At 34.2% G+C, this 14672-nt stretch overlaps 1 protein-coding gene across 11 annotated transcripts in view, besides 1 other annotated feature; it reads right to left on the reverse strand.

Annotated features, from left to right (window-relative positions):
- The window catches only part of CHD1 (chromodomain helicase DNA binding protein 1), a 75023-nt gene that overhangs the window by 44817 nt on the left and 15534 nt on the right, over positions 1 to 14672 (reverse strand). For all 11 annotated transcript variants that reach the window (NR_157079.3, NR_157078.3, NM_001376194.2 and 8 more), the window contains exons 3-8: positions 6096 to 6297; positions 4991 to 5107; positions 4099 to 4163; positions 2385 to 2534; positions 2010 to 2281; positions 679 to 904 (exon numbers count right to left, since the gene is read on the reverse strand). Coding sequence is in view for 9 of the 11 variants with exons in the window: in NM_001376194.2 (NP_001363123.1) it covers positions 679 to 904; positions 2010 to 2281; positions 2385 to 2534; positions 4099 to 4163; positions 4991 to 5107; positions 6096 to 6297 (1032 nt within the window). In the remaining 2 variants the exon portion in view is untranslated. The remainder of the gene's footprint in view (positions 1 to 678; positions 905 to 2009; positions 2282 to 2384; positions 2535 to 4098; positions 4164 to 4990; positions 5108 to 6095; positions 6298 to 14672) is intronic.
- Positions 5653 to 6852: an enhancer, noted in NCBI's record as "P300/CBP strongly-dependent group 1 enhancer chr5:98240158-98241357 (GRCh37/hg19 assembly coordinates)". NCBI's record gives its function as "activates an origin of replication core promoter dependent on BRD2, BRD4, P300/CBP, MED14 and CDK7 cofactors, with strong dependence on P300/CBP, by STARR-seq in HCT116 cells {active_cell/tissue: HCT116}" and the evidence as "EXISTENCE:reporter gene assay evidence [ECO:0000049][PMID:35650434]".

Genomic DNA, 14672 nt, shown 5'->3' on the forward strand with positions numbered 1-14672 from the left:
TCCCATAAATAACCTTTCACTCCCCCATCCCCAACACTATTTGTAGCACAAAATCTCCCATTTTGCCACTGTGTGGGCCAAGTTTGAGTAATAAAGAAACTCAAACAGGAATAAAGCATCATTAATTTTTAACTAAAAATTTGTAATTTATAATGTATGAGACACACTCTATGTGACTGTTACCAAGGATAGGTTTAGATAGGTATACCTCTAGGAGTTTTACCTTGAGATGGAATAAAATCATCCCTCACTACCTGCAGGGGATTGGTTGAGGATCCTCTACAGATACCAGAATCTGAGGATGCTCAAGTCCCTTATATGAAATGACATGGTACCTAAAATATAACCCACACACATCCTCCCCCATACTTTAAATCATCTCTAGATGTTCTTATAATACCCAATTTTACATTTACAACGTAAATGCAGTGCAAATAGTTGTTACATGGTATTGTTTTTAATTTGTGTTATTGTTGTTTTTTTTCCCTCCGAATACTTTCAATCCATGGTTGGTTGAAACCAAGGATAGAGAAGCTGTGGACAAAGACAGCCAACTGTATTATAAAGTCTATAGCTATTTTAGGCTATCATTTAATGTTACTATGTATTCTTTATTAACATAAAGGTTTAGTAATCTTTGAACTATTAAAAGAAGTATATGATATACAGCATACTTACCATCTTTTTGTTTCCTGATCTTTTTTCTTATAATTATCCAATTTTTTCATTCCTCTAACATTCTGCTGCTTGAGGGTTTCTTCTGTCTCCCAAGTGTTGTGGATATGGGACCATCCTTTCCATTTAATTAAATACTGAATCTCTCCTGGTTCTTTGTTTTTTTCAAAGCCTGCATTTGGGTCACCATCTGCTTCAACTGCATAGATGGTTGTAGTAGCACCAGTAGCTGAAAACAAAAGCACAAGATCCTTCCATGTAATTAATTCTGTTGTAGGATTATATTTCAACTCAAAATTTCAATAATATGAGTACAAAAATATATACTCTTTTAAATAAAGTATTGGGGGTATAGAAACTTATGGGAAATTCTATTGCTCATAAATAAAACTGAGAATTTCAGAATTATCTAATATAATCCCCTCCTTTTTCGAATTAGAAAAAATAAAAAGACAGAGATCCACCTGAGATCCCACAGCATTATTCTATAATTATCCACAATATATGAAACGTGGTCAGCTGGAGGCCCAGCACGGTGGCTCACGCCTGTAATCCCAGCAATTTGGGAGGCCGAGGCGGGCGGATCACGAGGTCAGGAGATCAAGACCATCCTGGCTAACACGGTGAAACCCCATCTCTGCTAAAAATACAAAAAATCAGCCAGGTGTCCTGGCAGGCACCTGTAGTCCCAGCTACTCGGGAGGCTGAGGCAGGAGAATGGCGTGAACCTGGGAGGCGGAGCTTGCAGTGAGCTGAGACCGTGCCACTGCACTCCAGCCTGGACAACAGAACGAGATTCTGTCACAAAAAAAAAAAAAAAAGAAAAAAGAAATGTGGTCAGGTGGTTATTAAGAAGGTACTCAGGCTAAGCAAAGTAGCTTTTATAAAACATAAGTAAAACAACAACAACAAAAAATCCACCCTCTTAGCTTTCAACACTGTAGAAAAATCTTAAATACTTTACCTTTTTTTTTTTTTTTTGAGATGGAGTTTCGCTCTGTCACCCAGGCTGGAGTGCAGTCGTGCAATCTCAGCTCACTGCAACCTCAGCCTCGTGGGTTCAAGCAATTCCCTTGCCTCGGCTTCCCAAGTAGCTGGGACTACAGGTGCGCACCACCTCACCTAGCTAATCTTTTCTATTTTTAGTAGAGATGGGGTTTTGCCACGTTGGCCAGGCTGGTCTAGAACTCCTGACCTCAGGTCTAGAACTCCTGATCCATCGGCCTCGGCCCCCCAAAGTACTGGGATTACAGGGGCGACCCACTGTGCCCAGCCCTCTACTCCTGTAAATATTATTTAAATAACCAAACAATAAATGGTTTTTTAAAAACTACCTCCTTTTCTCCCAATCCGACAATCCATAAATCTTTCTATGGTTTCAAATTCCTCTTCCTCAGGTTGAGGAACATCCTCTCCACAGACTTCCAGTAGGTCATCAGAATCTGTTTTCATTTCTTCATCCTCCTTATAGCTAACATTAACAGTTGCTTGGCGACGAGAACTTCTTTTATCATTATCATAATCTTCTTCATCATCATCCTCCTCAGATGAATCAATCTGTCTCTTTTTTTGTCCAAGAATCTTCTTTCCATTTTTTGACTTAGATCTAGGAAAGTGCAAAGAGAAAAAAAAACAAGATTTGAGAAACTATATACAAAAAGAACAAATACTTTCCACAATCAATTTTCAGCACCAAACTGAGACCATACCTATTTTGAGGTTTTCTGCTTTTGACTTTGTTTTTTGGCTCATAATCAGATTCTGTTTCATCACAACTGCTTTTCTCTCTCTCTTCTTCAGATTCTGAATCTGAACCAGACTGAGATGGAGATCCTGACCCAGACATTTGCCAATCTTCACTGCAGACAAAATTTATAAAGTATTTTTATTTGTACTTATATGGCAAGTTTTATCCCTAATACAAAGATGATCAAATCAACCAAACTATATTCGCTATCAAAAATACTGTTGCTTTTACTCATGCTAAAAATGAAATATTTATAAAACAAAAACACTCTGGAAAATATTCTTCATAGACTTCTCTCACAACTCTAGTTTTGCTAATCACTTAGTTATACGTCAGTGAACAGCAAATAAATGATATTTTAATTTTCATTATAGATGAAAATCTCATAAAATTATTCTACTTGCCCTCTCAAAAAAGAGATACTAATCCATGCCATTTTAATCCTCGAGAGGTTGTGATTTTGAAAAACACCTGTTTAAACTGATTTTTTAAATAGTGCACGTTCATTAAGAAACATAGAAAAATTAAAAAAAAAAAAAAGAGCAACAGTAGTACCATCTCAAATATTCAATCTGAGTACCTTACCTGTATTATTATTTTTAGTCTATTAAGTCTATTTCATTCCAATCAACATGTAGAGAAAAATAATGGATGTTAATATTTTGCTATCATAAGAAGTTCAAATGAAAGGCACACATTGAATTCTTACAAATACACTATATCCTATTTCAGCTATGCTTCTGCTTCATTGCTCTGTATCTTTTGCACCAATTGTAACTATGATGAAGGCTACATAAACAAGCATATATGATAAAATCTGCTTATGATAAAAACATAGTAGAAGCAAATTTTTTACTTTGAGATCTTTTCAGGGCTTGCACACCGAAAAAAAGTTTCCGTTGTGTATTTTTATAATGGAAAAAAAACTGGATGATCCAATATACATCTATTAATAGGAGGACCAGAGAGATTTGTAGAAAGAGAAAGGAAAAAAAATCCAAAGATAAATGATTGAATTTTCAGAATAAAAGATAGAACAGACTAATAAAAGATACAAATCTTCGCATTAAAAATGCATGAATCTTTTTTTGGGAAAAATAAGTAACAAATCTAATATGCAGAATATCAAAGGCAAATAGGAAAATAAAAGACAAGAAAATGGAATAATGTTTCCAAATCATTAAAATAAACATGGATTGAGAATCTGAAGTATTCTTAATACTTTCTGGGTCCAGATCTTTAGGAAATTACAGTGAGTTTCTAAAATGAGTTCTACGGTATGAAGTAAATTTCACATGCAACTGAATAGTAAGGATAGCTATTAATATAATTATAAGAACCATCCAAAATCAGTCATCCTGTCATCCCTATACTCCTATATTCCCAAGTTATTAAGATTTTCTGATATTACAACTAGGGAGATCATTAAAGTTTAAAAATATATAGGGGGAGTTACAGGAGATAAAGAAATGGCATAATACCCTCAGGTGGTCACAGAAAGATAAATGTTAAAGATTTATCTTTAAATTGTGTAATGGTGTAAATTAACTTCATAAAATGCCATGAACTAAGAATTTAGAAGAGTCTCCTTTTGGCAACAATTTTCATAAAGAAAGAAATATGAAATAATCAGGATTTTTCTAAAATGAAGTAGTCAGTTGAACAAAATGACATACTCTTTATGCTTTTTCCTTTTGACCTCACTTGATGAGTCATCGGAATCTTCACTGCTAGAGGAATCCTGTAGAAAAGAAATAAAGTCAGTATCATCCACTAATGATTAGAATTTAACCATATTAAATTTTTATTTGCTATACTATTTAACATTCACTTTACAAATAACAGCACTTGTGAAGCCTTTTTTCAATGTAGTTTTATTTATGTTAACTAGCTGAAAGTAATAACATTTTTATTGCAAATTAATATAGCCAGTGAAATTAAGTAAATAGCAAAATGTCAGCACTTTGTATGAAACCTTAAAATCTACCCTCACTGGAGACCATTATTGTTGCCTAGTATAGCCAAAACAAGAAATCCTAGGTGCCAACATGCCAAATTTTGAATTTTTTCTTCACCATTACTTTTTGTTATAATTTTTCCTGAATGTTTTTGTGCAAACATACATGTATGCATGCTTGCACACACACACAAACTACATTGTGTATAGTGGCCATCTACTCTTTCAAAAATATTATGTTGAGATTTCTGTTATTATTTCGTACAAATATGATTTAATGATATAATATTCCTTCATTCATACATGTATATGCGTGTAGGTGCATATCACATTTAATTATTTCCCACAGAGTTCACATTTAGTTTATTTCTAATTTTGCTGTAATGAGCAAATGCACACAAATGTCCCACTGCTTATTTTGGATTAATCCCTAAAATTGGAATTACTGGATAATGCAAAATCTGTATTTCAAGATTCTTGATATATACACTTAAAGTATTTCCTACTTATTCTTTCAAAGCACTTATTATTTTTAATAATTTCACAAATACTAGTTAACTGATTCAGCAGCATGTCCACTTTTAAAATAATAGCTCATGATGAAAATGCACCTCTTCTGATCCGCTATTAGATGAGGCTTGATGTTGTTGTTGCTGCTGCTGCTGTTGCTGCTTCTTGAGGATTGCAGATCTCTGAACGGCCAGAATACTAGGACTAGATTTCCAAAACTATAATAGAAATATAAACCAGTGAATGAAGAAGTATTAAGAAAACTGCAAAAAAAGGTTAATTTATTGAAAAACTATACCACCATCTTTACTGCCTCAAAGTAATAAAGACTATATTCCTTACCTATATGTAACACAATTATCATTGCAATATAGTTAAATAAAATGCTGAGCTCTAGTTATGTATAAAAAAAAATGGTGTGTTGAGTTCCACAGACAATATTAATCAATATCCTCTTGATGCTAAGAGTATTATTTGTATTAGTGCTACTCATAGTGTGGTTACCTATTTTATCAGTGTGAGGTGAAGAGGCTGAGTCAGAATATACGTCAACGATGTCACTAGGCACATTGTTTTAGCTCAGATTTGAGCGGGGGGCCGGTAGCAACATTTTTCTCTATGAAGGAATCTGTGTGTCGATTTATATTCTGGCCCTCAAGCATCTTATCTCATCACAGACTGGTACTCTGAGTAACACTGTATACTACCACGAAGTATAGACAAGTTTTTGTATCTCTTGTAGTTTTTTCCAAACAGAATAGCCCCTTACCCTATTCCATCATTATCTTTGAGGAATCTGAGTTCCATTAAATTATTCTGCTAGTAGCAATAAAGTATCTCCTTTGAAGCTCTTGAAAGTAGAGATCATAACACGGTAAGGTTAACAAGTAGACCTCACAATGTCTTAAATTTGTATCTATGACACAATGGATATTTATGAAACTCAATTTCTGCCTAAGAGGCAGAAAACGTTTTATTTGCCTGTGTGTAATTTACACTTTGTGTTTTCTAGTTCGAAAATGCATCTATTCCAAGCCAATTAGTCCACAGGTGTACCACCATGAATGTGAGAATCACTAAAAGTAAATTTTAATTTAAAATGTTGTCTTCTCTAAAAGCTAGATTAAGAATGGTATAAACCAATCCTCTAAATTTTCCCAAAGTAATACAAGCAATCTACCTTTCATTGGGTATTTTATTGATTACCTCAGCTCCATCAACTTTCGGTGGTTTTGCTTGAACTTTGTTTTCTCGGGAAGTGTCTGACTCAGACTCTGACTGACTGCCTGATTCAGATCCGGAGTCAGAGTCACTGCTACCTGACTGGCTACTGCTTCCATCACTACTGCTTCCAGAACTCGAACCAGATCCAGAGCCTGAAGCTGACCCAGAATCATCATCCGACTGGCTATAATTTGAAAATAAACAATTTCAAACAAAATTCATTAGGAATTTAATTTTTCTTAGACGTCAGCAGAAAGCCCCAAATCATTAAATTTTACTTCATACTTAATATTTCAACTATCTTTGGCCAAAAAAAAGAAAAAGGAATTGATTTAATCTATAGTAACAACTGCCATAGTTGATAATTTATTTATACGTGATAGATTATTACATACTTGATAGATTTATGACATATTTTATAGATTTTTATGGCTAAAACATAAGCAATAAGATTGTAATCTTCTTCTAAGACAATATGCAAAATCTACTAAGTACAAAATCCTGGGTTAGAAACTTTGAGAAGTCAAGAAGTTGAAGGCATGGTACCTACCTTTATAAAGCTCTAGCAATAATAAAGTAAGAAATGTGTGAAGAAAAGATTAAATGTGTTAAAAAAAATTCTTACAGTAACAGGCAGAAATTTATTTGTAGTTTCTGCTTGTTTTCAAGTTTCCATCTCTATCACTCCAGGAGAACATAATTTATTATAACCGAGCTATGATAAAATATAATTTATTTTAAAAAATCAGTAACACTGCTTGTCTGAGAAAATCACTTATTAATAAGTTCTTTGTGGATCTGTAGCAATAAATCTGAAATAGCAAATTCTCATATTTCCTAACGTGTATACACACACATAAAAAAGCAATTGACATTTCATAAACTATCCTTTTTTCCATTTCTAATTTTTAGTCCAAGATAGAGCAGAAATAGTCTGGACTAAACAGTTGATTATATAATTATCCCCAAGGTCATTTGTTTATATGTTGAAAACTAGGGCATTAAATTTCTGGTACATATGGTTGACTCCGCTTTTGATGTAATTTCATTTGGCTTTATGAGAAACCACAGGTAATACAGTTTACAGATATACAAGAAAATACAAGTTTCCTGTCCTCTTCTGTAATTTTCTAAAATGCCACCAGATGGAGGTATTACTCTAAGACAACACAGTAATTCTCTTTTTCCAGAGCAAGAATTTAGTAATTTCTGCATGAGAACAGAGAAATAAAAGTTTGCAGGAAGAATTTTGATTCTACAGGTGAGATATATAAATGCTTAAAGTATGAATAAGCATTGTTGTGTTTTTCAATCTAATGGAATAAATGTTGTATTCATAGAAACAGTAAATTAAAATTTGCTTCTTAAAGGCATATGCTATGAAGATCATTTTTGCCATCATGTCTCCTCTCTGGTCACATAGTTTAGAGGTCCAAAAACAGCATATTAAATTTTAATTTTTAAGGCCATATTTTACTTGCATACCTTGCGAGAAATTTTAGCAAGGATATTAAAAGATTTTTTTTCCTGACATACAACTTTATTTTTCCCTTAACATAATAGGTAAGCAAAATATTTCATTTATTCAATAAACTTTATTGAGAACTATCATGTGTTAGGCACTGGGGACAGACTGAGATGAGATGAAGTCTTTATCATCAAAAGAACTATTTAACCTCGAGACAGTCATATAAATGAATAAATATCCTTCTTTGCTATGTTTAAGACAACTGATTCCCATGTATGGGGAGCACTAAAGATATAACCAAGTTTGGTACAGTAGTCAGAAAACACTTAGAAGAAAGTGCTGTTAAATGAATTCTTCAGCAAAGAAATAAAAGAGTATCTCTTTCTTTTGAGGAATGTGAGTTCTATTAAATTATTCTGCTAGTAGCAATAAAGTATCTCCTCTGAAGATCTTGAAAGTAGAGATCATACACAGTAAGGTTAACAAGTAGACCTCATGATGTCTTAAATTTGTATCTATGACACAATGGATATTTATGAAACTCAATTTTTTTCCAGAATACCTAGCAGAGTGCCTCACACAGATGGGTGCTCAATAAATATGTGAACAGTAGACAGATGAATGATTAAATTGTGGGGGCTATTGTGGGCCTGTAATTCTCATTAGTCATTAGTCATTCCAGATGCATAGCTAGTAAAAACTGCTTGTTAACAAATCAAAATTCTTAAATGAATACAGAAATCTTTCCTTTCATATTCTTTAGGCAGTAGTACTGGCTGGAGATAAAAGCAACAGCCCGAGGCTATGCTACTCTAGTTGCACAGGTTTATTGTTAGAATGTCTTTACCTTGGGTATTAGAAATACTGAATAAAGTATTTATTTTATTGAGTTGTTCTTTAGTACGATAAAGAATATGCAAAAAGAGCTGGGAGCGGTGGCTCATGCCTGTAATCCCAGCACTTTGGAAGGCAGAGGGGGGCGGATCACCTGAGGTCGGGAGTTCGAGACCAGTCTGACCAACATGGAGAAACCTCGACTCTACTGAAAATACAAAACTGGCTGGGCATGGTGGCGCATGCCTGTGATCCCAGCTACTTGGGAGGCTGAGGCAGGAGAATCACTTGAACCCTGGAGGCGGAGGTTGCAGTGAGCCAAGTTCACGCCATTGCACTCCAGCCTGGGCAACAAGAGCAAAACTCCATCTCAAAAAAAAAAAAAAAAAAGCAAAAAGAGTAAGGAATATCTTATTTACTGCTATAGAATGATCTAAGATACAGTTTAAGTGAAAAAAAGATACCAAATGTTTATAGAATGTTTCTTTTGCATAAGAAAGAAAAATATTTATATATATTTGCTTGTATTTTTTGAAAAGCAACAATGGCAGAATAACCCAACTAATTTGAAAATGATGGCCTAAAGAGAGGGAGGGAAGAGTAGAAGGAACAGCAATTGAAATGAGTCTTCAGTTTTAGAATTACGTAAATGTTTTACATGATTTTTTTAAAAAGAGATTTTTAAAAATGAAAGAAAAATATACATGGGGCCAGAAAAAAAATTAGACTTAAAACTTTGAGCTAAAATAGGTGAAAAGCCTCTCCCTAATAAAGTAATTTTATTTCCACCTACTGCTGCAAATGCTCTTTCTAAAATAAAAAGCTGATGGTGGCCTTTCTTTTTTGTCTTCTGTTCTATAACAAAGTTCAACAAACATCTATGAGACCTTTCAGGATCTCTCTCTAATTCTCCAATCTATTTTCAACTAGTTGCTCACTTAAATCCCTAAGTTCAAGCTATGGCAAGCTACATGTAATTCTCTAAAAGCCACTTACTCTTTCCACTTCCTGCCTTTGTACCATTCCTTCTCTTTTCTTTTTATTATGTAATTTTTTGAGTCCCACCTCACAGCTACTCCTCCAGCAAATCTCTGCCAACTCTATCCCAACCCAACGTTAAATCAGGTTTACTTCCACAGCACTCCCAAAACTTCTGGAATATATACCTCTATCTTGGTTATGAGCAAACGATGTAATAATCACTGTAGTTTTCAGGTACCCTACCTAAGACCTTATGTTCCTTGAGCGCTGGGATTGCTTTTTGCTGCTCTTATGTCAAGCATTAAATGAAGAGTACAATGTTTCATGGATAGATGAATAAATAAGTAAATCAAAGAGATATAGGGGACACAGTTTTACATATTTTATGTAAAACTCACAAATTTGGCTATTAAATCTCTGATCTCCAATTAATATTTTATTTTAGGTAATAACCAGTATTACTAATCTTTTATAAAACTGAAATATCTGTACAACACTTGAATTATCCTTAAAGTGTATTAAATCTCACCAGCACAACAGTATTAAAGTGGTAGGTAGATTGCTAAAAACACTGAATTCTTAATTCAGATAATACACCCACGGAATAAATAAATAAATAAACCCATTGAATTCTTTTCCTCAATTCACGAAAGAAAAACCACCATTAATAGGTACTGTGATAAAATTATAGTGTTTTCTTAGGGTAAATTAAGGAGAAATACCACATTTAAAAGATAAAATAGTAATTCAAATTAAAGTGTCTTTTCAAGTTTAATATACAATTTCAAATATAAACTGAGCAATATGATGAATTATCATGAATCTATCACCCAGCTCCACAATTAGCAACTCATACCAATCTTGATTCAACTAAGAAACTATTTGTAAACATTTGCAATACCAATATCTCTTAAAAGATCACTTCGTTAATATTAAAGATATTTAATATTATTAAACATTAAATTAAGTACACTGAATATTAAATATCCAATCAGGCTATCCCTTTAGTCTCATAATTGTTTCTTCCACTCTTCTGCTTTCCAGATTTTGCTAAGCGCACCCTTGTGTTATCATTTAACATATTTTTCTATCCCTTGTATTTCTTATAAACTGGCTATTATATCTAGAGGCTTGATCAGATTCAAATTCAGTTCTTCTTGACAAGAATAGTTTATACGTGGTGTTGTGGACTTCTACCAGATGGCATTTAATGTTTTGTTGTTTTCTTTTGTGTGAGATTTAGTATAAATCTGTGGATTCAGGTACTGCCAGCCTTATCCATCCATTATAAAGCTCCCCATCACTTCATACCTAGCATTTTTAGCAGCCACTGATGATGATATGTCTTCCTCCATTAATAAGAGGCAGTAAAATGGTGACATCATTCATCAGTTACCCAAAACATCTTTTCTTCATTACACTTCTGTAAAGAGAAACTTTCCCTCATCATATTTGTTAACTCTGAGGTATAGTTCATGAAGAAAAGGGGTTTTATTTCTTTTCCTTATTTACCAGTTTTCAAAATGAGTTAAATCGCCAGCATCCTTCAAAGTAGACCAATAATTTTTTAAGTCCCATTATGAACTCATGGATTTGAACTTATTTTATAAATTTTAATCTACTGTCAGCATCCTTGTTGATTTCCAAACTCTCCCATCTTTTTCCAACAGGAAACCCTTTATTAGCTCTTAAGTCCTTCTGACAAGACCTGAAGTAGTCTTTGATAACCTGCCTATCTTTCTAGTATGACAGGATGTACCAGGCTCATCTTGCGTATTTCTTGCCTGAGGCTATAACCCAGCCATTTTATCAAAAAGCCCTTCTATTTATAATAAATTAGAAACTAAGTTGCAATCTAAGTACTAGGTGAACCTATTACTACTGGACTGGTTGCCTTATTTAGGATGTTTCAATGGAATGAGCTAGGATGTGTGTATTTTTAGAGAAACTACATTAAGAATTCATGTAATTCAAATTCAAAACTGCAAGCTTTTTACTTCCATTGTATGTTCATGTCATCACTCGGGTTGAGTTGGTTGCAAATGGCACTATTTATTTGCTTTATTTCAATTTTAATAGTTTCAAAATAATACCATTATCATAAACAATATGATTATTAAAGTTAAGATGACTATGCAATTCTTTTTGTTTTCAGGAATACTCACTTCTACAGTCAAATAACTGCTATAAAGTCAGGTAAAATAATTTATCTCTGTGTGACCACCAATTTGGCACAGTTAGGACCATCTGCTTTTTTAAATAGAGACTGCTTTCTTACTAATTTTGATTTTATGTTGCTTTATTTACTTGGATCCAACTTCGGAGCTACAGAACAAGCTATGGTCAGAAGTTCAGCTTCCATTCTTGACTCCTCTACACTATGTCCTCTCTTCCCCTATAGTAACCATTCAAAAATTTTTTATTTTCCCCTTTTTTAACATGAGCAAATTACGAATAAGAATGTTTATATTCCCCTTTCACAAATAATCATTAACATATTTTACACTCTTAAATAAATGGTAGCAGATTATATACACATTATATCCTGGAGATCATTCTGCAGTAGTGGACATATTATTCTTTGTGAAACTGCATATACTCCATTTTGTAGATGCACCATCGTTTCATGTGCCTCAAGGATGTACATGTTGTTTTCAGTTCTCTGATTCTACAAATAGTGATACAAAAAAAAATGGCCCTCTGCAGATATCTTTTTTATTTATGACAGTGTGTATTTTGATGTGCTATTTATCAACCAATGTAAACTCATCCTCTCTGAAGTTTTAAATTTACAATCACCTAGCACCTAGATCCTGACTTCTAAATACTACTGCACACTTAAATAAACTACAGCTCCTTTGAGAAATGGCAGGCTCTAAGGCTGCAATAGGGAAGATACAAGATGAGTCTAACAACCTTCCTGTGCTAAAATGAAAAAAAAAAAAAAAAATATATATATATATATATATATATATATATAGAGGCATGTCAAAAAGGACAGAGGAAAAACAAAAGGACATGAGAGCCCACTTGAAGGGGCTTCCATTGACCAAATCTGATTTGAGCATAAAAATAAAGACAGTTAAGGATCACTGCTCAGTAAATAAAACAGGAACCCTTGAGTCTGTGCTGATGACAGAAACAGACACACAGAGGAGGGCTCTGATAGAGCTCTGAATGTCAACTGGTAAGGGTATTAGTCTTAGAAAACCATAATTATGCAATCATCACAGAAAATGCTGGTTTGGGCAAAAAATCATCAATGGATACTACATCTAGGGGAAGTTTGCTGAGTAGGATAATTTACATAGACTCAAAGTGTCTTCTCACAAATTGCTTCTTAGCTGTAACAGATGAATTAGAAATCACAGTGGAGAAACCGGACACCATGTCCTGGTGATTGAATGTAGCATCACTAATAGGGACAGACAAACAATGTGAGCTCCAGCTGTGAAACACTTTAGAAGATATATCATTACCAACACGGTTCTCCAGCCTGGTACGCAGAGTAAGGAATGCATAACTTGGATCTAATGATAAGTGAATACCAGAAAAACCCAAATTGAGAAATATATTCTATAAAATAACTAGCTTATAGTCTTTCAAAATGCCAATGTCATGAAAGACAAAGAAAGAGGAACTGTCCAGAATGAAGGAGATTAAAGAGATACGACAGTCAAATGCAATATGTAATCTCTGTACGGAAAGATGATTGACCAAACTGGAATGCAGACTGAGAATTTAAGTACTCTTAAATCAGTGTAAATTTTCCTGAACTTAATAAACAATATAGGCCTTGAGTAAAAGAATACTTTTTTTATTCTAAAATACATACTGACTGTTACAGAGAATGGTCTAAAAGAAAAAAAAATTAAAAAATATATACTGAAGTGTAAGAGGTGTGATTTCTGCAACCTACTATATCACAAGTTTTCTTTATTAACATCCAAGATTGTGAAATCTTCTTTGCAGGTAGTGAAAATGTACAATGATGGAAAAATTTAAAAGCCACAGAAGTGAACATAACAGGCAAGTAAACATTCAATTTATGAAAAATGAAAATACAATTATCTAATGTATAATGTGTCAATAAATTGGCCAAACTAGGCCAACAGAAATAAAATAACTTAACAAAACTTTTTAAAAAAATCCGAAAAGATAAAAATGAACATTAAAGAAGGCAAATGTCAAACTGGGCACGGTGGCTCACACCTATAACCCAGCACTTTGTGGGAGGATGAAGCAGGTGGATCATTTGAGGCCAGGAGTTCAAGACGAGCCTGCCCAACATGGTGAGACCCCATCTCTACTAAAAATACAAAAATTAGCCAGGTGTGGTGGCACATGCTCGTGTTCCCAGCTACTCAGGAGGCTGAGGCACGGGAATCACTAGAACCCAGGAGGCAGAGGTTGCAGTGAGCCAAGATTGAGCCATGGTACTCCATCCCGAGCGACAAGGCAAGACTCTGTCTCAAAAAAATAAAATAAAATAAAATAAAGAAAGCAAAGTCAAATGTATACAAAAGTCACCTCGGCAAGTGCTAGTAGCACTAGAGAAGAGACTGTTTACGTGTATTTAAACATTATACGTAAATTAGACAGCTTATACCAAAGCCTTAGATCTGTTATTTATTTTCAATTATATAACATATACATTTATTTACTTCTGTCCTTAGCACATAAAGATTTTCTTTCTTGTACATATAATTTCCCTACTTTTTCTTTCCTTTATTTTTAACCTGTTAACAGTGATTAGCTGAATTAGATTCCAGTTGGGGGTGCTGGGGAAACCCTGATAGAAGGTAAACTAATTTTCCACAGAATTATAATGGAGGATTGTGTGCTTGACAAAGAGAGCTATAAATAAACAAATCAAAGAATTTTATTTACTAAAGAATACAGGATAGTGTACTAAATTCTCATCCTATGCCTCTTGTTCCCTTCCACCTATAGCTACTGCTTAAGTGTCAATGTCATTCGAAAGAGCTTCTTGCTAGGCATGGTGGCTCACACCTGTAATCCCAACACTTTGGAAAGCTGAGGCGGGAAGATCACTTGAGGCCAGGAGTTTGAGATCAGCCTGGACAACATAATGAGATCCCATCTCTACAAAAAAAATATATAAACTTAGCTGGGGGAGGTGGCATATGCCTTCAGTCCTAGCTACTCGGGAGGCTGAGGGAGGAGGATCCCTTAAACCCAGGGGTTCGAGGCTGCAATGAGCTATCAACTGTGCCACTGCACTATAGCCTGGACAAGAGCCAGACCCTAACTCT

The sequence above is a fragment of the Homo sapiens genome, chromosome 5 (genome assembly GCF_000001405.40).
Source record: "Homo sapiens chromosome 5, GRCh38.p14 Primary Assembly".
NCBI lineage: Eukaryota > Metazoa > Chordata > Mammalia > Primates > Hominidae > Homo > Homo sapiens.